The 25,923-nt window shown below is 39.7% G+C and overlaps 1 protein-coding gene across 24 annotated transcripts in view, besides 1 other annotated feature; it reads right to left on the minus strand.

Annotated features, from left to right (window-relative positions):
- The window catches only part of USP40 (ubiquitin specific peptidase 40), a 91,257-nt gene extending 82,214 nt beyond the window's left edge, over positions 1-9,043 (minus strand). For 15 of the 24 annotated variants that reach the window (NR_168054.1, NR_168052.1, NR_168053.1 and 12 more), the window contains exons 1-4: positions 8,945-9,043; positions 7,617-7,834; positions 4,997-5,064; positions 2,072-2,185 (exon numbers count right to left, since the gene is read on the minus strand). Coding sequence is in view for 16 of the 24 variants with exons in the window: in XM_047444889.1 (XP_047300845.1) it covers positions 2,072-2,185; positions 4,997-5,064; positions 7,617-7,815 (381 nt within the window). In the remaining 8 variants the exon portion in view is untranslated. Of the gene's footprint in view, positions 1-2,071; positions 2,186-3,003; positions 3,295-3,420; positions 3,528-4,996; positions 5,065-7,616; positions 7,835-8,607 lie in introns of those variants that run through there. The other 9 variants (XM_011511398.4, XM_047444892.1, XM_011511401.3 and 6 more) reach the window with 6 other exon arrangements.
- Positions 25,309-25,899: an enhancer, noted in NCBI's record as "H3K27ac-H3K4me1 hESC enhancer chr2:234491694-234492284 (GRCh37/hg19 assembly coordinates)". NCBI's record gives its function as "activates a minimal SCP1, AML or CMV promoter by ChIP-STARR-seq in naive H9 embryonic stem cells {active_cell/tissue: H9 hESC(naive)}" and the evidence as "EXISTENCE:reporter gene assay evidence [ECO:0000049][PMID:30033119]".

The raw sequence follows: 25,923 nt of genomic DNA on the forward strand, positions 1-25,923 counted from the left end.
TCTTCTGGACTTGGCACAGGGATGTCACTGTTGACTTCAACCAAAAAAGTAGAAAGGAAGGAGAGGAACAAATGGAGAGTTCAGAAGCAGAGGCAATAAGGGAAGACAATTTCAAAAATAAGTTTCAACCAAGAGCAATAGCTCATGCCTAAAATCTCAGCTACCTGGGAGGCCGAGGCAGCAGGATGCCTTGAACCCAGGGCTGCAGTGAGCTATGATCATGCCATTGCACTCCAGGCTGGTGACAGTGAGACCTCATCTCAAAAAAAAAAAAAAAAAAAAAAAAGTTTTGTGTGAAGAGCAGCAGATAAAGTGGATGAAAGCTGGAGGACTTCTATCTTGCCTTTTAAAATACAAGACCCTCAAGGATGTAATTTATCTAATATCACTGGCTATGATGGGATAGAAAACTTGTGGAAGTTTTCAAGCTCTGTTCCTAAACAATCCTACACTTCGCAAAGGTACCACAGAGACCTTCTCCTACCACTGCAGGTCCAGTCCTAGAGGGTTTTCTGCAAGATCTTATTTAGACAAAAAACAAAAAAAATTTTCACAGCATTAAGAAGAAACCAGCAACTTAGTGAAGCTCATTATCAAAAACAAAGAAAAATCTATCAACCAATGACTAGATTAAAAAAAAAAAACAAAAAACATGTGGCATATCCATCTAATAGAATCTCATTTGGCAATAAAATGGAATGAAGTATCGACACATACTACAACATGAATGAACCCTGAGAACAGTACTTTAAGTGAAAGAAGACTGTTACGAGACCACCTATTGGATCACTCCATTTCTATGAAATGTCCAGAATAGGCAAATTCATAGAGACAGAAAGGAGGTCAGTGGTTGCCAGCGGCTGAGTTGAGGGGGATGGAAAGTTACTGCTAACGGGTATGGAGTTTCTTTTTGGGGTGGTAAAAATTTTCTAAAATTGATTGTAGTGATGGTTGAACAACTCTGTGAATATGCTAGAAAGCACCACTGAACTGTACCACTTAAAAGAGTGAATTCTGTGGCATGTAAATTACATCTCAATACAGTGTTTTTTTTGTTTGTTTGTTTTTGTTGTTAATCGGATTAACGCCAAATACCAGCCCTACACCAGAAATTTAACATACTTGTTTAGGGAATGTATTATACCCCATTTTGCTTGAAAGTCCATGCCTTACCTCCTTAATCACATAGTTAGTATCACCTAGTTAAGAAGTGTTCCTGGTTAGAAGACTACCCTTCAGAGTTTACCATTAAAGGCAATATAACAGTATTCCTATCGTTTGCTCTTTAACTTCTGTGACAGTTGCCTATACCTGTCTTTGCAGGATTACATCCATCTATTCCATATAAAAATGGTAGACTGGGATTTGTTTGGATTTGTATAGCTATAACAGCTCATCAATATGTGCAACAAGCACCTTTACTCATTGCTGACAAGTGTGTAGTGTTCGTATACAGTAGAATGCCTTTTAGAACTCAAACAGGAAAGTGAGAGAAAGCCCACATACAACAAGATTCATAAAGAAAATGGAGAAGGTCAGGAGAAAGTCAGGACAGGAATAAAAAGACCTGCCAAGAACCATTTCACTTTTTTGACTGAAGCAAACCTTCAAATCAGAACATGTGGATTCAAACACAAAGCACATAACAAACAAAGAATTTTTAAAAATTTACTTACAATGTAATTGATCCATTATTGTTGGTCAAAGACTAAAAAACTGATCAACAGTTTCCTATATAAATGGTAGGTAATCTCCATGTAATCGGTGTTGTATCTCAACTAGACTACATAAAGACTCTTAGGGTAGAAATTGTAAAAATCAGCTCTTGTACTTCTCCCCGTTTTTCCAATCTTCTCCCCAGCCCCAAATCACAGCCATTCATAAAATCCTGTATACAGCAAGTGTCTAAAAATATATATTTCTGGCTTGTAATTTTTTAATGTGAGAAGGAAACATTCAAACAATATGTTGAGACCCTAAGACAAAATTAAAGGAAGTTAGATAACATTAAACCAGCCTTATTCTTTCCTCTATTGCTGGTAACTCTTCCTTAAAGAGCTGATCCTCGTACCTCATTACTGGTCCACCCAAAGCTGTCAGTGAGGTCTGCTGTGGATGCAGCTTCCTGGTCTAAGAGCAGAAGCTGAGCAAACAAGCGCTGTAACTGTAAAGGGATGATTCGAACCTGAATGAGAAACAAACACATTTCTAAATGAATTCTTTAAGTGTTGACTAAGGCTTTTGAAAACAACTGCATACTAGCTTTTTTATATCTCCCAGTTCATTCAGGAGAAAGTTTATAAATATCCTATTATAAGGGAAAAACTAATTATGATTCAGTTCTTCTGTGAAAATTATAATGCAATCTAAAAAATAATAGTTATTTGGAGTTTTCTACCTTGATATGGTTCAGACAAACATTAAAACTCAAATAGGCCTTAATAAACCACTCAACTGATTACAGATTGACAGTAGTTTGAATCTCTTCTAATAGTCCATTATTTCTCTAAAATACCTCTGATACACACAATTTCCCCTCTGTAGAAATTTTCCAGGCACAATACTGTATCTCGCTCTGGAGTTCTCAGCACACCCTGCCTCACTTTCTCCTGGCTCCAAGTGAGTTCCTGCCTTACTTGATGTGGTGAGGGCTGGGGCAGACTGAGCAATGTTGCTCAGAGTCTGGTCTGTAGGCTAGACTTTAAGTATTTAAAGGAGAATAAGCATTTAGAAATTGTAATGGCAATTTGACATTCCCATGGCATTTTTATTATATACTAGAAAAGTGCTAATCTGCAACAGATTGGGAATAAAAAGAAATACACAAAAACAGGTCCTTTGCCACACAGGTAGCCTGAGAAGTACTGGGCTAGATCATGAAAGACTCCTAAGAAGTACAAATTTGAGCCTGAACATGGTAAGAAACTTTTGAGTTATGTTTAAGCAGGGAGGAACATGATTAGATATGCACTTTAAATATCACCACAATAACAAACAAAATAATTAACTCATTACTCAATTTATTTCCAGAGTACCAAATTGAAAGAATACTAGCCTCTATTTTTTTTTGTGTGGGGTGGAGAGGTCGGTATTGTTGCAAAAAAAGTGCTTTAAATAGACTTCTGGGGGAAGCTAATGTGGATGTTCTGCAAATATTTCCTTCACCAGAAGAAAGAATAAGCATAGTAAAGAGTGTTACATGTTTATAAAGCAGTAGCAGTATTGTACTTGGAAAACTGATTCTTTCTCGGAAGGCAAATTCCATTACCCATAGGGTATAGGCCAAGTCACTTTCTGGAAATAAAGAGCATATTTGATAATTAATAAAATTATTGCTTTGTGAACAAGCCACTTAATTCCTTCTTTAAAAAAAATTTTCTGAATACGCTAAAACACCCCAGTAAATCATAGATGTAATACCTTTGCATCGGGTTTATCCTTATCTTCAAACAAACCAAGCTCTTCTGGGCCAAGAGAAAATAAAGTTCATATGGAACCAAAAAAGAGCCCGCATCGCCAAGTCAATCCTAAGCCAAAAGAACAAAGCTGGAGGCATCACACTACCTGACTTCAAACTATACTACAAGGGTACAGTAACCAAAACAGCATGGTACTGGTACCAAAACAGAGATATAGATCAATGCAACAGAACAGAGCCCTCACAAATAATGCCACATATCTACAACTATCTGATCTTTGACAAACCTGAGAAAAACAAGCAATGGGGAAAGGATTCCCTATTTAATAAATGGTGCTGGGAAAACTGGCTAGCCATATGTAGAAAGCTGAAACTGGATCCCTTCCTTACACCTTATACAAAAATCAATTCAAGATGGATTAAAGACTTAAACGTTAGACCTAAAACCATAAAAACCCTAGAAGAAAACCTAGGCATTACCATTCAGGACATACGCATGGGTAAGGACTTCATGTCTAAAACACCAAAAGCAATGGCAACCAAAGACAAAATTGACAAATGGGATCTAATTAAACTAAAGAGCTTCTGCACAGCAAAAGAAACTACCATCAGAGTGAACAGGCAACCTACAAAATGGGAGAAAATTTTCGCAACCTACTCATCTGACAAAAGGGCTAATATCCAGAATCTACAATGAACTCAAACAAATTTACAAGAAAAAAACAAACAACCCCATCAAAAAGTGGGCGAAGGACATGAACAGACACTTCTCAAAAGAAGACATTTATGCAGCCAAAAAACACATGAAAAAATGCTCATCATCACTGGCCATCAGAGAAATGCAAATCAAAACCACAATGAGATACCACCTCACACCAGTTAGAATGGCAATCATTAAAAAGTCAGGAAACAACAGGTGCTGGAGAGGATGTGGAGAAATAGGAACACTTTTACACTGTTGGTGGGACTGTAGTTCAACCATTGTGGAAGTCAGTGTGGCGATTCCTCAGGGATCTAGAACTAGAAATACCATTTGACCCAGCCATCCCATTACTGGGTATATACCCAAAGGACTATAAATCATGCTGCTATAAAGACACATGCACACGTATGTTTATTGTGGCATTATTCACAATAGCAAAGACTTGGAACCAACCCAAATGTCCAACAATGATAGACTGGATTAAGAAACTGTGGCACATATACACCATGGAATACTATGCAGCCATAAAAAATGATGAGTTCATGTCCTTTGTAGGGACATGGATGAAATTGGAAATCATCATTCTCAGTAAACTATCGCAAGAACAAAAAACCAAACACCACATATTCTCACTCGTAGGTGGGAATTGAACAATGAGAACACATGGACACAGGAAGGGGAACATCACACTCTGGGGACTGTTGTGGGTTGGGGGGAGGGGGGAGGGATAGCATTGGGAGGTATACCTAATGCTAGATGATGAGTTAGTGGGTGCAGCGCACCAGCATGGCACATGTATACATATGTAACTAACCTGCACATTGTGCACATGTACCCTAAAACTTAAAGTATAATAATAATAATAATAAAAATACCTTTGCATCGGGTTTATCCTTATCTTCAAACAAACCAAGCTCTTCTGGGCCAAGAGAAAATAGAGCTTCTAAAGAAAAAGGTAGAATCAGAGATGCAAATGACATCATTTCATTTTAAAAAATTGTTTTAGAAAGCCAAGACCACCTTTAAGTAAAATCAAGTAGATTCAGAAATATGATTGTGGCAATATTTATACCTTACTCTATACACTTTACTTTCTTGTAACATTTTTAACCAGTGACTCTAAGAAAATAGTGTCATGCTAAGGCTTCAGCATTTCCTAATTCTAGGAAAGGAAAATAATCTTTATGCATAAAACTAAAAACAGTAACATCAGAAATCTTTCATGGCTTCCCACTGTCTATGGCATCAGGTCCCAAAAGCCCAAGAATCTCAGGAAATACAGTAGTGTTGCAGTTTTCCTGCCACATGTAAGGCTAACAAACATCCTTTCGTGGGAAGGATCCTCTTTTACTCTGAGATGCCCTTTTTTTTGGTGTGAAAATGTCTTTTCCGTGTTGAAGGTAATAACAGATGGCAGTGGTCTTATCTGGAAAAAGAAGTTGGCAACCCCATGCGAGTCTCCAGAATTTCTTTATCACCCAACATCTAGGTGATGTGCCACCCAATGGGGCATACCTGAATCTTTTGAGAAGTCTGTATCCGAGCCTAGGTAGGAACTCTTACTGGGAAACTCTGATATACTCTAGGGATACAAGGAATGGGATAAATGTGTCTCCCTATTGAAAAACTATTGCTACCCTAGTGCTTACTGTTAATGAATGTTATATTCTTTCTAAGTGCTGGGACTCGGCAAAAATGAACTACAAATCTACAAGTTAAAGCATAAAACCATACAAAAACTTTTATAATAATCTCCCAGTACTCTCAGCTACATTGTAATGGAGTACAATGGAACCCAATGTAGCCCTATTATTTAAAATACTATTCCAAAATTTCCCCCGCCAGTTCTCTGACAGTCCTTATTCTTTCCAAATTATACCTCCCTGTCAGTCACCATCAGGATTCAGGCTAAGCTATACAAGCAGTGCACATTGTGCACTAAGATGTCAAATCATATGCTTGGCCAGCAATCCCCTCTGCTGGAGAGGAAGTTGGCCTGGGACTCTCAGTACTACTCTTGCCTAATGGTACGCTCCATGACCCGCCCTACACTTCACCATCTTCCTCAGTCCCTTTGAGGCTACGTTTCTACTTCGAGTTGTCCTTTAACTTCAACTATATTAAAACCTGGAAAAGTGTTATCCCTATTAGAAATGTACTTATTAGTGCTGGCAATTTTTACTGGTGGAATTACTGATTGCATCAGGGAGATATTTTTATGGAGGGGATCGAGTCAAGGCTAAGAGGTACCACTTAAATCCCACATGCAATCCAACCCATTAAATTGCTCCTAGGAAGGTAACAGCGGTAAATATTTACTAAATCTCTGGAGGCAGCAAGTCTTTCTAAGCTTAGAAGCAACAGAAGAACCACAAAGATTTGATAAATGTGGTGGCAGTAGGGAAGAGGAACATGGCAAACCAGATAGGATGAGTCAGGCTGTCTGTCCTCCTAATATGGAGACACTGTGGAGAGCTGAGCTACAAAGCCATGTAGTGCTGGGGACCCCAGTCAGGGCCAGGTGAAGGCAAAGTAATGTTCACACTGAGCTCACGGGAACACAGCTCCTAGGACCCTTGTGGAGGAAGCTGGTTTGCAGAGATGGGGTATGGGAGAAATATATAGAGAGAAACAGGGGCAAGAAATCAAGGGTCCAGTAAGGTCAGGCTGGCTTCCTGCAGTTGATTTCTGAGATCCCCTATATTCTTACAATAACCCCCCTTTTAAATTTAGCTAATTTGGGTGGTGGGTCTGTTTCTTGCACACAATCCCTTACCTAAAATCTCTGGGTCTTTGGAATTCAGAATTTCCAGAGTTTATAAAGATAATATGAAAAAAGTGTTTTTTATATATATATAAAATGTTACATTCCCAGCAGGGTCTGGGCCAGCTTCCATTAATCAAGCAGATTAATATTCCTGTAATGAATGTATGAACATTCACCCACATGAGATAACTAAAAACTGTAAATAGCCTCACACCAGGTCTGGTTCTGAAGCCAAACAAGCTCAGGTGAGATCAGATGAGGGTGTGAGCTTTCCAGATTTCAGAAATGCGTATGAACAACTGTGCACCCATATAAATAATATGACACCCTTCCCCACTCCAAAAGGTAGATATAATTGGTTGGATAACTCTGGCTTAAGTGTTTGTTATTCTAGAGAAATCTTAAAACTCAAACAGTGTAACAATAATGAAGACTGATACTTATGACAATTGTCTTTACGTTGTACTTTAAATTACAGGAATTAAAAAAGAAATATATTGCTTTATTTTTTTACTAAACATTATTGTCATCACCCAGGATATATTTAAGATTAAGCTTCACATTTCTCTGCAGAGGGAATTACCAATTTATATCTTATATGTGCAACAATAAACACATACTGTAGAATATATCTTTAAGATAATTGGTCTATTTGTGATTTTGCATAATTAATTACATGTAAAGAAGATGGTACATATTGCTAGTTAAATGTACGTAACATAGCATACCTCTGAATTCAGGTGTGAAATGAAGAGTCTGAAGAAGGGAATTGAGGTAACAGGTTCCACCCTGATTTCTGATTCCGCTTAAATTGGTGAATTCTCTAGGAGCAGGTGGCTCCAAAGCTTTAGTCTTTAATTTCTTCCCTTTTCCATACTGATTATTAGACACAGTGGAATACTCCTCTTCAAACAGGTCCCCAAACATTGTGAAACTAAATACTACCCTTAAAAAAAGTGACATATAAATGCTTTTATTTTTAAAATAAATTTTCCCCAAATCCCCCTACCTTACACTTGGGAGTCGATTCTGTTGTTTCTTAGAACACAGGACTACTGTTTCTATGTACAGTAGTTGGGTTTTGGAGGCAGCAAGATCTAGATTTTTTTCATCCCTATCAGGACCCTAACTACCTGTGTGACCCTGGATATGTTAATCTGTTTTCTTATGTGTAAAATAGGATACCATCTGTCTCTTCGGGTCATTTAAACTATCCAATGACATAACGAAAGAAGGGCAGTTAGTGTACAGGGTTTGGCCCACAATAAGTAACAGCTGTTTTTAAAAAGGCACGTTCACATCACTAATTTTTTTAAAAAAGAAAACCTGTTGCCACAACTAATCCACTGCTGGGACGGCAAAGCCAACCCTAAATTCTGAGAATCAACTCTCTAAAATCTCTGCTTGTCACACCCTTCAGTACTATATACCAGATTATGACATTTAAATTAAACAGATCAAGTTAACTTTTTTTAGAGCACTTTAGTACAGTCCCGAAGCTGTTGGGCCGGAAGTCAGTTCACTGGGGAGGGAGGGGGGAAGGGGAGCGGAGGGCGGGGAAGACTGCCACTAAAATTATCAAGCCTAAAGGCCTTCCAGTATGTATCCACTAATCCCATCGTTAGCCCTGGGGGCCTAGGTGACTTCCCCAAGGTTTCACATCGAGTGTGGCGGAGGGTCACTTGGAGATGAGAAACGTAAAGCGCCTAGCATAGGTACCAAATGACAGGAAGCGCTGAAATGCAATTATTTTTCTTTTCCTCAGAAGAAAACTAAAAAAACACAACTCGAGAGTCTAGCCTCGAGCTCGTTGTCTGCATTCCTGAATTCCCAACTCCTACGGCCGGCCGAGGCCCTCCAAGCCACCACAGGCCCAGGGGCGCAAAAAGGCAGAGGTCCCCGTGGCCCGAAACCACTGCCCCGACTCCAGGAGAGCGCCGCGTCCTCAGGCAGGCCTGGGCAGCCTCTCGCCTCGCCCTCCTCAGACTGGGCCACCAACACTGTCCCTACGCTTCCCACGTCCCTCCCAGGATCCCCGGGCGCCAGCCGCACTTACTGCCTAAAGCCCAGACCCCCGCCCTGGCCAAAACGCGAAGCGAACGAACCCGCCCCAACTGGGCGCCGCCATGTTGGCGAGGGCGGGTCTCCAGAAAGTGATTTATGGATCGTGGACTATGCTTCCCAGGATGCCCCGCTGGAGCGCCGGCCCCTCGCACGGGGCCTTATGGGAAATGTAACTCTTCTGCTCCAAGAGTTTGGGAACTGGAGCGGGAGCGGGAGCGGGCAAGGTGAGCTCGCTTACAAGTCCGCTGGTGAGTTCGCGGGTCCACTCGGCCAGCGGACCACTCATTCGTTCACATTTATAAGATTATAGCTATATGATCTTATATAAGATTATAGCTATATGATCTTATATAAGATTATAGCTATATGATCTTATATAAGATTATAGCTATATGATCCTTATATAAGATTATAGCTATATGATCTTATATAAGATTATAGCTATATGATCTTATATAAGATTATAGCTATATGATCTTATATAAGATTATAGCTATATGATCTTATATAAGATTATAGCTATATGATCTTATATAAGATTATAGCTATATGATCTTATATAAGAGTATAGCTATATGATCTTATATAAGAGTATAGCTATATGATCTTATATAAGAGTATAGCTATATTATAGCTATATAACCTTATATAAGATTATAGCTATATAACCTTATATAAGATTATAGCTATATAACCTTATATAAGATTATAGCTATATAACCTTATATAAGATTATAGCTATATAACCTTATATAAGATTATAGCTATATAACCTTATATAAGATTATAGCTATATAACCTTATATAAGATTATAGCTATATAACCTTATATAAGATTATAGCTATATAACCTTATATAAGATTATAGCTATATAACCTTATATAAGATTATAGCTATATAACCTTATATAAGATTATAGCTATATAACCTTATATAAGATTATAGCTATATAACCTTATATAAGATTATAGCTATATAACCTTATATAAGATTATAGCTATATAACCTTATATAAGATTATAGTTATATAACCTTATATAAGATTATAGTTATATAACCTTATATAAGATTATAGTTATATAACCTTATATAAGATTAGTTATATAACCTTATATAAGATTATAGTTATATAACCTTATATAAGATTATAGTTATATAACCTTATATAAGATTATAGTTATATAACCTTATATAAGATTATAGTTATATAACCTTATATAAGATTATAGTTATATAACCTTATATAAGATTATAGTTATATAACCTTATATAAGATTATAGTTATATAACCTTATATAAGATTATAGTTATATAACCTTATATAAGATTATAGTTATATAACCTTATATAAGATTATAGTTATATAACCTTATATAAGATTATAGTTATATAACCTTATATAAGATTATAGTTATATAACCTTATATAAGATTATAGTTATATAACCTTATATAAGATTATAGTTATATAACCTTATATAAGATTATAGTTATATAACCTTATATAAGATTATAGTTATATAACCTTATATAAGATTATAGTTATATAACCTTATATAAGATTATAGTTATATAACCTTATATAAGATTATAGTTATATAACCTTATATAAGATTATAGTTATATAACCTTATATAAGATTATAGTTATATAACCTTATATAAGATTATAGTTATATAACCTTATATAAGATTATAGTTATATAACCTTATATAAGATTATAGTTATATAACCTTATATAAGATTATAGTTATATAACCTTATATAAGATTATAGTTATATAACCTTATATAAGATTATAGTTATATAATCTTATAAATATGAATGAATGAGTGGTCACATTTATAAAGATATAAGATTATATTTATATAATCTTATATCTTTGTCTTTCGTCTGTGAATCAAACTAATGGCATGTCAAAGTATTGTCTGGACAATCCTTTCATTCCATAGCTTCCTCTCCTCCTATCAGATCCCCATGAAATCTCACCTGCATTAGGATGATAGCCTTTTCAGTGGACTCCCGTTTTACACACCCCTTCCTGCACGTCACTATAAGATGCACTATCCATCTAAGGTGCACTTTGAGCTCAAACCTCTCTGCTAAAGAAGCTTCCACGATTTCTCAACATCCACTGTGGAAATTCTTTATTTTGATTCTTAGTTCGCTGATGGTCCCAACATTCTTTTCATACTGTATTTCTCACTACACACCTATTTACCAAAGTGCTTTCAAATGTGCCATCTATAAAGCTGCTAATCCCTGAGCCTTTAAGGGAAAAGATAAACACCAGCTGCAAGTCTTTTTGTTTTATGATAAAAAGCCCTGTACAACGAAAACACTTTTTCTGGTTTGGTTCCATGAAAACCAATGCTCTGTCCCTGAAGTCAGGAAGTACCTTGCCAGTAAGGGACTTCCTTTTAAATTGCTTTTGATATTGGACAATGTCCCTGGCCACCCAGAACCCCATAGATTCTGCAATGAGAGCACCAAAGTGGCCTCCTTGCCCCTAAACACAACATGTCTAATTCAGCCCTTAGATCAAGGGGTCATAAGGAACTTTAAGGCTCATTACGTACGGTTTTCTATGGAAAGGGGTGTCAACACTATGGAAGAGAATCTCAACAGGGAGAATATCGTGAAAGTCCAGAAGGATTACACCATTGAAGAAGCCCATGTTGTTACAGAAAAAGCTGTGAAAGCCATCAAGCCCCAAACAATACATTAGTGCTGAAGAAAACTGCGTCCAGATTCCAGATGTTGTGTGTGAGTTCACAGGATTTACAACAGCCTATCAAGGAAGTCATGGAAGAGATTGTGGATATGGCACCAAAAAAAAAAAAAAGAGGCATAAAGTGTTTGAAGATCTAGATCTTGGGGAAATTCAAGAGTTAATAGATACCACATCTGAGGAATTAACAGAAGATGACTTGATGGAGATGAGTGCTTTTGAATCAGTACCAGAGAATGAGGAAGAAGATATAGAAGAAGCACTGTCAGAAAATGAATTGACATTAGACAATCTTGCAGAAGGGTTCTGATTATTTAAGACTGCTTTTGACTTCTTTTACAACTTGGACCCTTCTATGATACGGGCATTGAAACTAAAGCAAATAGTAGAAGAAGGATTAGTACTGTATGCAAGCATTTTTATTTATTTATTTATTTTTATTTTATTTTTTTGAGACAGAGTCTTGCACTGTCACCTGGGCTGGAGTGCAGTGGTGCGATCTTGGCTTACTGCAACCTCTGCCTCCCAGGTTCAAGTGATTCTCCTGCCTCAGCCTCCTAAGTAGCTGGGATTACAGGTGCCCGCCACCACGCCCAGCTAATTTTTTGTAGTTTTAGTAGAGATGGGGTTTCACTGTGTTGACCAGGCTGGTCTCAAACACCTGACCTCATGATCCACCCACCTCAGCTTCCCAAAGTGCGGAGATTACAGGCGTGAGCCACTGCGCACAGCTCAGGCATTTTTAAAGAATTGAAAAAGCAAAACTATCAGACAGTAATTATGATGTATTTCCATAAAGTCAAACTGAGTGTGCCTGTCTCTCCTGCTTCCCCTTCCACCTCCTCCACCAATTCCCCCTCTGCCACTCCTGAAACAGCAAGACCAACTTCCCCCTACCCCCACCCCTCCTCAACAGCCCACTCAATGGGAGACAGTGAGCATGGAGACCTTTATGGTGATACACTTTCACTTAATGAATAGTAAAGATCTTTTCTTTTTCTTTTTTTCTTTCTTTTTTTTTTTTTTTGAGATGGAGTTTCACTCTTGTTGCCCAGGCTGGAGTGCAATGGCGTGATCTCGGCTCAGTGCAACCTCTGCCTCCCAGGTTCAAGCAGTTCTCCTGGCTCAGCCTCCCGAGTAGCTGGGATTACAGGCATGCAACACCACGCCCGGCTAATTTTTTGTATTTTTAGTAGAGACGGGGTTTCACCATGTTAAGGCTAGTCTCGAACTCCTGACCTCAGGTGATCTGCCCGCCTTGGCCTCCCAAAGTGCTGGGATTACAGGCCTGAGCCACCGCGCCTGGCAGTAAAGATCTTTTCTCTTCCTTATGAATTTTAACATTTTCTTTTCTCTAGCAGACTTTATTGTAAGAAAAATACAGCATATAATACATATATTACACAAAATATTTATTAATTGACTTTATGTTATTGGCAAGGCTTCCAGCAAACAGTAGGCTACTGTAGTTATGTTTTAGGGTAGTCAAAAGTTCTATGCTCATTTTTGACTGCACGAAGTTGGTGCCCCTAATCCTCGCTTTATTCAAGGGTCAGCTGTAGCAGCAATGAACAATTGAAAATTGGAATGAAAATACCACTCAAAATAGCATAAAAATATGAAATACTTAGGGCTAAATCTGACAAAAGATGTGAAAGACTGTACACTAAAAACTACAAAACTTTAATGAGTGACCTAAATACACAGTCATGTTCATGAATTGAAAAACTCAAAATTTTTAAGATGTCAGTTCTCCCAGTTCATCTATAAATTCAATACAATCCCAACCAAATCCCAGCAGGCTTTTTTTTTGTGCAAATTGGCAAACTGATTCTAAAATTCTTATGGAAATGTAACGGACCTACAATAGCAAAAACAACAATGGAAAACAAGAAAAAAAAGAGAGTGAACACTGACTCATTTCAAGACCTCCTACAAAGGATAGTAATCAAATATTTCATAAATATGTCAATGAAACAGAATAGAAAGTCCAGAAATACACAGTTGTATGAATAACCAAGTTTTTACAAAGGTGCAAAGGCAATTCAGTGGAGAGAAGAATAGTCTTTTCAGCAATTGGATATCCCATACCCAAGAAAGCAAGAAAAGACATTACATCTGTAGTCTTCTTTCCAAAAACCATAACCCCAGTCTATGATGAAAACATTAGACAAACTCAAACCGAGGAACGTTCTACAGAAAAAGTGACCAGAACTTCTCAAAACTGTCAAAGTCATCAAAAACAAGGAAAGTCTAAGAAACTGTCACAGGCTAGAGGAGGTGAAGGAGACATATGATTAAATGATTAAATGTCATGTGGTATCCTGGATGGGATCTCAGAAATGGAAAAAGACATTAGGTAAACATTAATGACATCTGAAGAAAACATAGACTTTAGTTCATCATAATGTATCAAATGTTGGTTAATGAGTTGTGATAAATATGCTACAGTAACATAACATTTAACGATAGGGGAAACCCGTACAGGATATTTGGGGATTTTCTGTGCTATTTGTTGCAAACTTGCTGTAAATCTAAATTTATTCCAAAGTAAAAAGTTGAATGGAAAAAAAATCCACAGACTGGGAAAAAATATTTGCAGTGCATGCATGTGGTAAAGAAGAAATATCCAAAATGTATAAAGAACCTTTAAAATTCAATGAAGAGAAATGAAAATAAACCAATTTTTTTTTAAAAATGTGCAAAGATTTGAACAGACATTTACCAAATAAGGTATACAGATGGGAAGCAGGCACATGTAAAGACATTCAACACCAGTAGTGATTAGAGAAATCAAATTAAAACCACAATTTACACACCCATTAGAATGGCTGAGAGGAAAAAGACTGACAATATCAAATTATACAGTTTAGATATTTGTCCCTTCCAAATCTCATGATGAAATTTAATCCCCAGTGTTGGAGGTCAGGCTTAGTGGGAGGTGTTTGGGTCATGGGGGTGAATCCTGCATTAATGTCTTGGTGCCTTCCTCTCGGTAATGGGTGAGTTCTCCCTCTATTACTTTCAGTAAGAGCTGATTGTTTAAAAGAGCCTGGCACCTCCCTTCTTTTTCTCTTGCTTCTCTCTCACCATGTGATCGGCACCTTCTGCCATGAGTGGAAGTAGCCCGAGTCTCTCACCAGATGCAGGTGCTAGCGCCATGTGTCTTATTCAGCCTCCAGGACCATGAGTCAAGGAACATGTTTTCTTTGTAGATTACCTAGCCTCAGATATTCCTTTATAGCAATACAAACAAACTAAGACACCAGGTGCTGGTGAGTGTGAAGAGATCCTGGTGGTGGGAGGGGACATGGGTCCAGCCACTTTGGAATATTATTTGGCAGATTCTTTAAAAGGTAAACATACACCAACCAGGCACAGTGGCTTATGCCTGTAATCCCAGCACTTTGGGAGGCCGAGGCAAGTGGATCATGAGGTCAAGAGATCGAGACCATCCTGGCCAACACGGTGAAACCCCATCTCTACTAAAAATACAAAAATTAGCTGGGTGTGGTGGCACATGCCTGTAGTCCCAGCTATTCGGGAGGCTGAGGCAGGAGAATCATTTCAACCCAGGAGGCAGAGGTTGCAGTGAGCCAAGATTCGTGCCACTGCACTCCAGCCTGGCGACAGAGCGAGACTCCATCTCAAAAAAAAAAAAAAAAAAAAAAAAGGTAAACATACACCTACCATAGAACACAGCTATTCCATTGCTAGGTATTTAGTCATGAGAAAAGAAAGCATACTTGCTATATTATTTGTATTTTTACATTTTCTGTATGTTGTAATGTTTCTGCGTCTTAAAGTCACTTTCTTACTGGGGATGCAGTGTCCCTCTGCAGGTCAGTTAATTCTTAGAGACAGCAAAGGGCCCACCCTTGTAGCTCAGAGCCCACTGAAATTATTCAAACTAGCCTGTCCTAAACTGTTTCTCCTGCCCTATCTGTGTTTCCTGCAGAAACTGCAATAGAGCTGTGGTCTAGACTCTACCCTTGCCCCTCTCCCTTCTGCCCCTTGTATTTCGAGTCAAGAATTGTACAAGGTGTTACTTTGCCACAGACCCTGCTTCCAGTCTATAGCAGTCAGGGTTTAGTGAGAGAAGCAGAGCCGCTATGCATATACATGGTGAGGGATTGGCCACAGGCATGGTGGGAGCTGGCTGGACGATCGCTGCAAATGGCCTTGGTGTCTGATGCTGGAGCTTAAGGACCCCAGGGTGGGTCTTCAGGAAGGGTAGACGGATGTAAAGTGGGGACAGCGAGGAGAATCCAGGACCCACAGAAGGGACTGGAACTTGGACAGTTCTCAATGCCTCCTACCTTGAAAATGTGGATGGCCTTCAGAAGAAGCTGGCACCCTTCCTCACAGAGCTAATCACATACCTGTCTCAGGTATGGGAGAAGCTGACAGAGGAGCATGAGAAAGGTGGAGCAGCTGTAGGTTCAGCTGCTGCCTTGTGCCTATGAGGGTCATGAAGCAGAGAGGTGACATGAGACAGGTGACCACATTTATGAGCTCCAAAAGGGCCTGTCCTGAACTTCCGCATTCAAAACAAAACAGAACAAGAATAGGCTGGGCATAGTGGCTCATGGGAGGCTGAGGCAGGAGGATCAATGGAGACCAGGAGTTACAGACCAGCATGGACATCATGGTGAGACCCCCTATCTACAAAAAAATTTAAAAATCAGCTGTACACGGTGTCATGTACCTGTAGTCCCAGCTACTTGCGAGGCTGAAGTGGGAGGATTGCTTGAGTTCAGAAGCCAAGGCTGCAGTGAGTTGTGATTGTGCTACTGCACTCTAGCCTGGGTGACAGAGTGAGACCCTGTCTTAAAAAAAAAAAAAAAAGAGAAAAGAAAAAGAAAAGCAAAAATGTAGAATGGATGTTGAATTTGATCAAACACTTTTCCTACGCCTACTGAGATGACTACATGGTTTTCTTTTCTGGTTTATTTATTTAGTGTCTTACATTGAATAATTTTTTGTTATATTTATGTATGTATGTATGTTTTTGAGACAGGGTCTTGCTCTGTCACCCAGGCTGGAGTACAGTGGGGCAATCATGGCTCACTGCAGTCTAGACCTCATGGGCTCAATCAATCCTCCCACCTCAGCTTCCCTAGTAGCTGGAATTACAGGCACACATCATCACACCCGGCTAATTTTTGTATTTTTTTGTAGAGATGGGGTTTCACCACATTCCCCAGGCTAGTCTTGAACTCCTGGACTCAAGCTATCCAAACACCTTGGCCTCCCAAAGTGTTGGGATTACAGGTGTGAGCCACCATGCCTGACCAATTATTACAAAAATTCTTTATCTTATCATTAATTGTGGTGAAATACACATAGCATAAAATTTATCATGTTAACCATTTTAAGTGCACAGTGCAGTATTGAGGACATTCGCATTGCTGTGCAACCGATATCACCATTTATCTCTAGAACTCTTTTCATCTTCCTAGACTGAAGCTTGGGGTCTATGAAACAATAATTCCTCATTCTCCCTCCTCCCAGCCCTTGGCAACTACCATTCCTCTCTTTGCTTCTGTGAATTTGACTATTTTAGGTGCCTTATACAAGTAGAATGATTAAACCAGTTGTCGTCTTGTGACTGGCTTATTTAACTTAGCACAAAGTTCCCAAGGTTTATCTATGTTGTAGGATGTGTCAGAATTTCCTTCTCTAAGACTGAATTTTATTCCATTGTTACCAGATTTTGCTTATGCACTCATATGGAGATGGGCACTTGGGTTGCATTCACCTCTTGGCTGTTGTGAGTTAAGCTGCTGTGAACATGACTGTACAACCTTGATTAATTTTCTAAAGTTAAAACCAGCTTTACATCCCAGGGATAACTCTCATTTGCTTGTGGTTTATGATTTTTTATGTATTACATATTTTAAAATATTATTTGTATTAGTCCATTTTCATGCTGCTTATAAAGACCTACCAGAGACTGGGCAATTTACAAAAGAAAGAAATTTAATGGACTTAACAGTTCCACATGGCTGGGAAGGCCTTACAATCATGGCAGAAGGCAAGGAGGAGCAAGTAACATGTTATGTGGATGGCAGCAGGAAAAGAAAGAGAGCTTGTTCAGGGAAACTCCTGTTTTAAAACCATCAGAACTTGTGAGACTTATTCACTATCAAGACAACAGCATGAGAAAGACCCACCCCCATGATTCAATTACCTCCCACCAGGATCCTCCCACAACATGTGGGAATTGTGGGAGTTATAATTCAAGATGAGATTTGGGCAGGGACACAGCCAAACCATATGATTCCACCCTGACCCCTCCCAAATCTCATGTCCTCACATTTCAAAACCAAGCATGCCCTAACAACAGTCCCGCAAAGTCTCATCATTAACTCAAAAGTCCACAGTTCAAAGTCTCATCTGAGACAAGGCAAGTCCCTTCCACCTATGGGCCTGTAAAGTCAAAAGCAAGTTAGTTACTTCGTAGGTACAGTGAGGGTACAGGCATTGGGCAAATACAGCCATTTCAACTTGGAGAAATTGGCCAAAATAATGGGACTACATTAAGTCCAAAATCCAGTGGGGCAGTCAAATCTTAAAACTCCAAAATGATCTCCTTTGACTCCATGTCTCACATCCAGGTCTTGCTGTTGCAACAGGTGGGTTCCCATGGTCTTAGGCAGCTCTGCCCCTGTGGCTTTGCAGGGTACAACCTCCCTCCTGGCTGCTTTTACAGACTGGCATTGAGTGTCTGTGGCTTTTCCAGGTGCACGGTGCAAACTACTAGTGGACTTAACATTCTGGGGTGGAGGGATGGTGGCCCTCTTCTCACAGTTTCATTAGGCAGTCCCCCAGTCGTTACTTTTTGTGGGGGCTTCAAACCCACATTTCCCTTCTGCACTGTCCTAGCAGAGGTTCTCTGTGAGGGTCCTGCCCCTGCAGCAAACTTCTTCCTGGACATCCAGGCATATCCATACAGCCTCTAAAATCTAGGGGGAGGTTCCCAAACCTCAATTCTTGACTTCTGTGCACCCACAGTCTCAACCCCACATGGAAGCTGCCAAGGCTTGGCACTTGCGCCTTCTGAAGCCATGGTGTGAGCTGTACTTTGGCTCCTTTTGGACACGGCTGGAGCAGTTGGGATGCAAGGCACCAAGTCCCTAGGCTGCACACAGCAGGGGGCCCTGGGCCTGGCACACAAAACCATTGTTTCCTCCTAGGCCTCCAGCCTGTGGTGGGGAGGGACTGCCATGAAGACCTCTGACATGCCCTGGAGACATTTTCCCCATGGTTTTGGGGATTAACATTTGGCTCCTCATTACTTATGGAAATTTTTGCAGCTGGCTTGGATTTCTCCTCAGAAAATGGGATTTTCTTTTCTATCACATAGTCAGACTGCAAATTTTCCAAGCTTTTATGCTCTGTTTCCCTTTTAAAACTGAATGCCTTTAGCAGTGCCTAAGTCACCTCTTGAATGCTTTGCTGCTTAGAAATTTCTCACACCAGATACGCTAAATCATCTCTCTAAGGTTCAAGTTCCACAAATCCCTAGGTCAGGGCAAAATGATGCCAGTCTCTTTGCTAAAGCATAACAAGAATCACATTTCCTCCAGTTCCCAACAAGTTCCTCATCTCCATCTGAAACTACCTCAGCCTGGACTTTTTTGTCCATATTGCTATCAGCATTTTGGGCAAAGCTATTCAACAAATCTCTAGGGAGTTCCAAACTTTCCCACATTTTCCTGTCTTCTTCTGAGCCCTCCAAACTGTGCCAACCTCTGCCTGTTACCCAGTTCTAAAGTTGCTTCCACGTTTTTAGGTATCTTTTCAGTAGCAATCCACTCTACTGGTACAAATTGACTGTATTAGTCTGTTTTCATGCTGCTGATAAAGACATGCCTGAGACTGGAGAATTTACAAAAGAAAGGAGTTTAATTGACTTAGAGTTCCACATGGCTGGGGAGGCCTCACAATCATGGCAGAAGGCAAGGAGGAGCAAGTCACATCTTAATGGATGGCAGCAGGCAAAGAAAGAGAGCTTGTGCAGGAAAACTTTTATTTTTAAAACCACCAGATCTCGTGAGACTTACTCACCGTCATGAGAACAGCATGGGAAAGACCCGTCCCCATGATTCAACTACTTCCCTCCAGGTTCCTCCCACGCCACGTGGGAATTGTGGGAGTTCCAATTCAAGATGAGCTTTGGGTGGGGACACAGCCAAACCATATCATTATTGAATTTGATTTGCTAAAATATTGTTTTACATTTTTGTATCTAAGGTCATGAGGGTCTGTAGTTTTTCTATATTGTCACATCTTTATCTTGTTTTGGTATTGTGGTAATGTTGGTCTCACAGAATGAATCAGGATATTTCGCATGCCTCTGTTTTTTTTTTTTTCCATCTGAATTATATTTTATTTTATTTTTTTATTTTATTTTTTATTATTGTTATTATACTTTAAGTTTTAGGGTACATGTGCACATTGTGCAGGTTAGTTACATATGTATACATGTGCCATGCTGGTGCGCTGCACCCACCAACTCGTCATCTAGCATTAGGTATACCTCCCAATGCTATCCCTCCCCCCTCCCCCCACCCCACAACTGTCCCCAGAGTGTGATGTTCCCCTTCCTGTGTCCATGTATTCTCATTGTTCAATTCCCACCTACAAGTGAGAATATGCGGTGTTTGGTTTTTTGTTCTTGCAATAGTTTACTGAGAATGATGATTTCCAATTTCATCCATGTCCCTACAAAGGACATGAACTCATCATTTTTTATGGCTGCATAGTATTCCATGGTGTATATGTGCCACATTTTCTTAATCCAGTCTATCATTGTTGGACATTTGGGTTGGTTCCAAGTCTTTGCTATTGTGAATAATGCCACAATAAACATACGTGTGCATGTGTCTTTATAGCAGCATGATTTATAGTCCTTTGGGTATATACCCAGTAATGGGATGGTTGGGTCAAATGGTATTTCTAGTTCTAGATCCCTGAGGAATCGCCACACTGACTTCCACAATGGTTGAACTACAGTCCCACCAACAGTGTAAAAGTGTTCCTATTTCTCCACATCCTCTCCAGCACCTGTTGTTTCCTGACTTTTTAATGATTGCCATTCTAACTGGTGTGAGGTGGTATCTCATTGTGGTTTTGATTTGCATTTCTCTGATGGCCAGTGATGATGAGCATTTTTTCATGTGTTTTTTGGCTGCATAAATGTCTTCTTTTGAGAAGTGTCTGTTCATGTCCTTCGCCCACTTTTTGATGGGGTTGTTTGTTTTTTTCTTGTAAATTTGTTTGAGTTCATTGTAGATTCTGGATATTAGCCCTTTTGTCAGATGAGTAGGTTGCGAAAATTTTCTCCCATTTTGTAGGTTGCCTGTTCACTCTGATGGTAGTTTCTTTTGCTGTGCAGAAGCTCTTTAGTTTAATTAGATCCCATTTGTCAATTTTGTCTTTGGTTGCCATTGCTTTTGGTGTTTTAGACATGAAGTCCTTACCCATGCCTATGTCCTGAATGGTAATGCCTAGGTTTTCTTCTAGGGTTTTTATGGTTTTAGGTCTAACGTTTAAGTCTTTAATCCATCTTGAATTGATTTTTGTATAAGGTGTAAGGAAGGGATCCAGTTTCAGCTTTCTACATATGGCTAGCCAGTTTTCCCAGCACCATTTATTAAATAGGGAATCCTTTCCCCATTGCTTGTTTTTCTCAGGTATGTCAAAGATCAGATAGTTGTAGATATGTGGCATTATTTGTGAGGGCTCTGTTCTGTTGCATTGATCTATATCTCTGTTTTGGTACCAGTACCATGCTGTTTTGGTTACTGTAGCCTTGTAGTATAGTTTGAAGTCAGGTAGTGTGATGCCTCCAGCTTTGTTCTTTTGGCTTAGGATTGACTTGGCGATGCGGGCTCTTTTTTGGTTCCATATGAACTTTAAAGTAGTTTTTTCCAGTTCTGTGAAGAAAGGCATTGGTAGCTTGATGGGGATGGCATTGAATCTGTAAATTACCTTGGGCAGTATGGCCATTTTCACGATATTGATTCTTCCTACCCATGAGCATGGAATGTTCTTCCATTTGTTTGTATCCTCTTTTATTTCATTGAGCAGTGGTTTGTAGTTCTCCTTGAAGAGGTCCTTCACATCCCTTGTAAGTTGGATTCCTAGGTATTTTATTCTCTTTGAAGCAATTGTGAATGGGAGTTCACTCATGATTTGGCTCTCTGTTTGTCTGTTGTTGGTGTATAAGAATGCTTGTGATTTTTGTACATTGATTTTGTATCCTGAGACTTTTCTGAAGTTGCTTATCAGCTTAAGGAGATTTTGGGCTGAGATGATGGGGTTTTCTAGATATACAATCATGTCATCTGCAAACAGGGACAATTTGACTTCCTCTTTTCCTAATTGAATACCCTTTATTTCCTTCTCCTGCCTAATTGCCCTGGCCAGAACTTCCAACACTATGTTGAATAGGAGTGGTGAGAGAGGGCATCCATGTCTTGTGCCAGTTTTCAAAGGGAATGCTTCCAGTTTTTGCCCATTCAGTATGATATTGGCTGTGGGTTTGTCATAGATAGCTCTTATTATTTTGAAATACGTCCCATCAATACCTAATTTATTGAGAGTTTTTAGCATGAAGGGTTGTTGAAATTTGTCAAAGGCTTTTTCTGCATCTATTGAGATAATCATGTGGTTTTTGTCTTTGGCTCTGTTTATATGCTGGATTACATTTATTGATTTGTGTATATTGAACCAGCCTTGCATCCCAGGGATGAAGCCCACTTGATCATGGTGGATAAGCTTTTTGATGTGCTGCTGGATTCGTTTTGCCAGTATTTTATTGAGGATTTTTGCATCAATGTTCATCAAGGATATTGGTCTAAAATTCTCTTTTTTTGTTGTGTCTCTGCCTGTCTTTGGTATCAGAATGATGCTGGCCTCATAAAATGAGTTAGGGAGGATTCCCTCTTTTTCTATTGATTGGAACAGTTTCAGAAGGAATGGTACCAGTTCCTCCTTGTACCTCTGGTAGAATTTGGCTGTGAATCCATCTGGTCCTGGACTCTTTTTGGTTGGTAAGCTATTGATTATTGCCACAATTTCAGATCCTGTTATTGGTCTATTCAGAGATTCAATTTCTTCCTGGTTTAGTCTTGGGAGAGTGTATGTGTCGAGGAATTTATCCATTTCTTCTAGATTTTCTAGTTTATTTGCGTAGAGGTGTTTGTAGTATTCTCTGATGGTAGCTTGTATTTCTGTGGGATCGGTGGTGATATCCCCTTTATCATTTTTTATTGCATCTATTTGATTCTTCTCTCTTTTTTTCTTTATTAGTCTTGCTAGCGGCCTATCAATTTTGTTGATCCTTTCAAAAAACCAGCTCCTGGATTCATTAATTTTTTGAAGGGTTTTTTGTGTCTCTATTTCCTTCAGTTCTGCTCTGATTTTAGTTATTTCTTGCCTTCTGCTAGCTTTTGAATGTGTTTGCTCTTGTTTTCTAGTTCTTTTAATTGTGATGTTAGGGTGTCAAGTTTGGATCTTTCCTGCTTTCTCTTGTGGGCATTTAGTGCTATAAATTTCCCTCTACACACTGCTTTGAGTGCATCCCAGAGATTCTGGTATGTTGTGTCTTTGTTCTCTTTGGTTTCAAAGAACATCTTTATTTCTGCCTTCATTTCGTTATGTACCCAGTAGTCATTCAGGAGCAGGTTGTTCAGTTTCCATGTAGTTGAGCGGTTTTGAGTGAGATTCTTAATCCTGAGTTCTAGTTTGATTGCACTGTGGTCTGAGAGATAGTTTGTTATAATTTCTGTTCTTTTACATTTGCTGAGGAGAGCTTTACTTCCAATTATGTGGTCAATTTTGGAATAGGTGTGGTGTGGTGCTGAAAAAAATGTATATTCTGTTGATTTGGGGTGGAGAGTTCTGTAGATGTCTATTAGGTCTGCTTGGTGCAGAGCTGAGTTCAATTCCTGGGTATCCTTGTTGACTTTCAGTCTCATTGATCTGTCTAATGTTGACAGTGGGGTGTTAAAGTCTCCCATTATTAATGTATGGGAGTCTAAGTCTCTTTGTAGGTCACTCAGGACTAGCTTTATGAATCTTGGTGTTCCTGTATTGGGTGCATATATATTTAGGATAGTTAGCTCTTCTTGTTGAATTGATCCCTTTACCATAATGTAATGGCCTTCTTTGTCTCTTTTGATCTTTGTTGGTTTAAAGTCTGTTTTATCAGAGACTAGGATTGCAACCCCTGCCTTTTTTTGTTTTCCATTTGCTTGGTAGATCTTCCTCCATCCTTTTATTTTGAGCCTATGTGTGTCTCTGCATGTGAGATGGGTTTCCTGAATACAGCACACTGATGGGTCTTGACTCTTTATCCAATTTGCCAGTCTGTGTCTTTTAATTGGGGCATTTAGTCCATTTACATGTAAAGTTAATATTGTTATGTGTGAATTTGATCCTGTCATTATGATGTTAGCTGGTTATTTTGCTCGTTAGTTGATGCAGTTTCTTCCTAGTCTTGATGGTCTTTACATTTTGGCATGATTTTGCAGCGGGTGGTACCGGTTGTTCCTTTCCATGTTTAGCACTTCCTTCAGGAGCTCTTTTAGGGCATGCCTGGTGGTGACAAAATCTCTCAGCATTTGCTTGTCTGTAAAGTATTTTATTTCTCCTTCACTTATGAAGCTTAGTTTGGCTGGATATGAAATTCTGGGTTGAAAATTCTTTTCTTTAAGAATGTTGAATATTGGCCCCCACTGTCTTCTGGCTTGTAGGGTTTCTGCCGAGAGATCCGCTGTTAGTCTGATGGGCTTCCCTTTGAGGGTAACCCGACCTTTCTGTCTGGCTGCCCTTAACATTTTTTCCTTCATTTCAACTTTGGTGAATCTGACAATTATGTGTCTTGGAGTTGCTCTTCTCGAGGAGTATCTTTGTGGCGTTCTCTGTATTTCCTGAATCTGAATGTTGGCCTGCCTTGCTAGATTGGGGAAGTTCTCCTGGATAATAGCCTGCAGACTGTTTTCCAACTTGGTTCCATTCTCCCCATCACTTTCAGGTAAACCAATCAGACGTAGATTTGGTCTTTTCACGTAGTCCCATATTTATTGGAGGCTTTGCTCATTTCTTTTTATTCTTTTTTCTCTAAACTTCCCTTCTCGCTTCATTTCATTCATTTCATCTTCCATTGCTGATACCCTTTCTTTCAGTTGATTGCATCGGCTCCTGAGGCTTCTGCATTCTTCACGTAGTTCTCGAGCCTTGGTTTTCAGCTCCATCAGCTCCTTTAAGCACTTCTCTGGATTGGTTATTCTAGTTATACATTCTTCTAAATTTTTTTCAAAGTTTTCAACTTCTTTGCCTTTGGTTTGAATGTCCTCCCGTAGCTTGGAGTAATTTGATCATCTGAAGCCTTCTTCTCTCAGCTTGTCAAAGTCATTCTCCCTCCAGCTTTGTTCCGTTGCTGGTGAGGAACTGCGTTCCTTTGGAGGAGGAGAGGTGCTCTGCTTTTTAGAATTTCCAGTTTTTCTATTCTGTTTTTTCCCCATCTTTGTGGTTTTATCTACTTTTGGTCTTTGATGATGGTGATGTACAGATGGGTTTTTGGTGTGAATGTCCTTTCTGTTTTTTAGTTTTCTTTCTAACAGACAGGACCCTCAGCTGCAGCTCTGTTGGAATACCCTGCTCTGTGAGGTGTCAGTGTGCCCCTGCTGGGGGGTGCCTCCCAGTTAGGCTGCTCGGGGGTCAGGGGTCAGGGACCCACTTGAGGAGGCAGTCTGTCCGTTCTCAGATCTCCAGCTGAGTGCTGGGAGAACCACTGCTCTCTTCAAAGCTGTCAGACAAGGACATTTAAGTCTGCAGAGGTCACTGCTGTCTTTTTGTTTGTCTGTGCCCTGCCCCCAGAGGTGGAGCCTACAGAGGCAGGCAGGCCTCCTTGAGCTGTGGTGGGCTCCACCCAGTTCAAGCTTCCCGGCTGCTTTGTTTACCTAATCAAGCCTGGGTAATGGCGGGCGCCCCTCCCCCAGCCTCGTTGCCGCCTTGCAGTTTGATCTCAGACTGCTGTGCTAGCAATCAGCGAGACTCCATGGGCGTAGGACCCTCCGAGCCAGGTGCGGGATGTAATCTCGTCGTGCGCCGTTTTTTAAGCCCGTCGGAAAAGCGCAGTATTAGGGTTGGAGTGACCCGATTTTCCAGGTGCCGTCCGTCACCCCTTTCTTTGACTCGGAAAGGGAACTCCCTGACCCCTTGTG

This window comes from Homo sapiens, chromosome 2, assembly GCF_000001405.40.
Source record: "Homo sapiens chromosome 2, GRCh38.p14 Primary Assembly".
Taxonomy (NCBI): domain Eukaryota; kingdom Metazoa; phylum Chordata; class Mammalia; order Primates; family Hominidae; genus Homo; species Homo sapiens.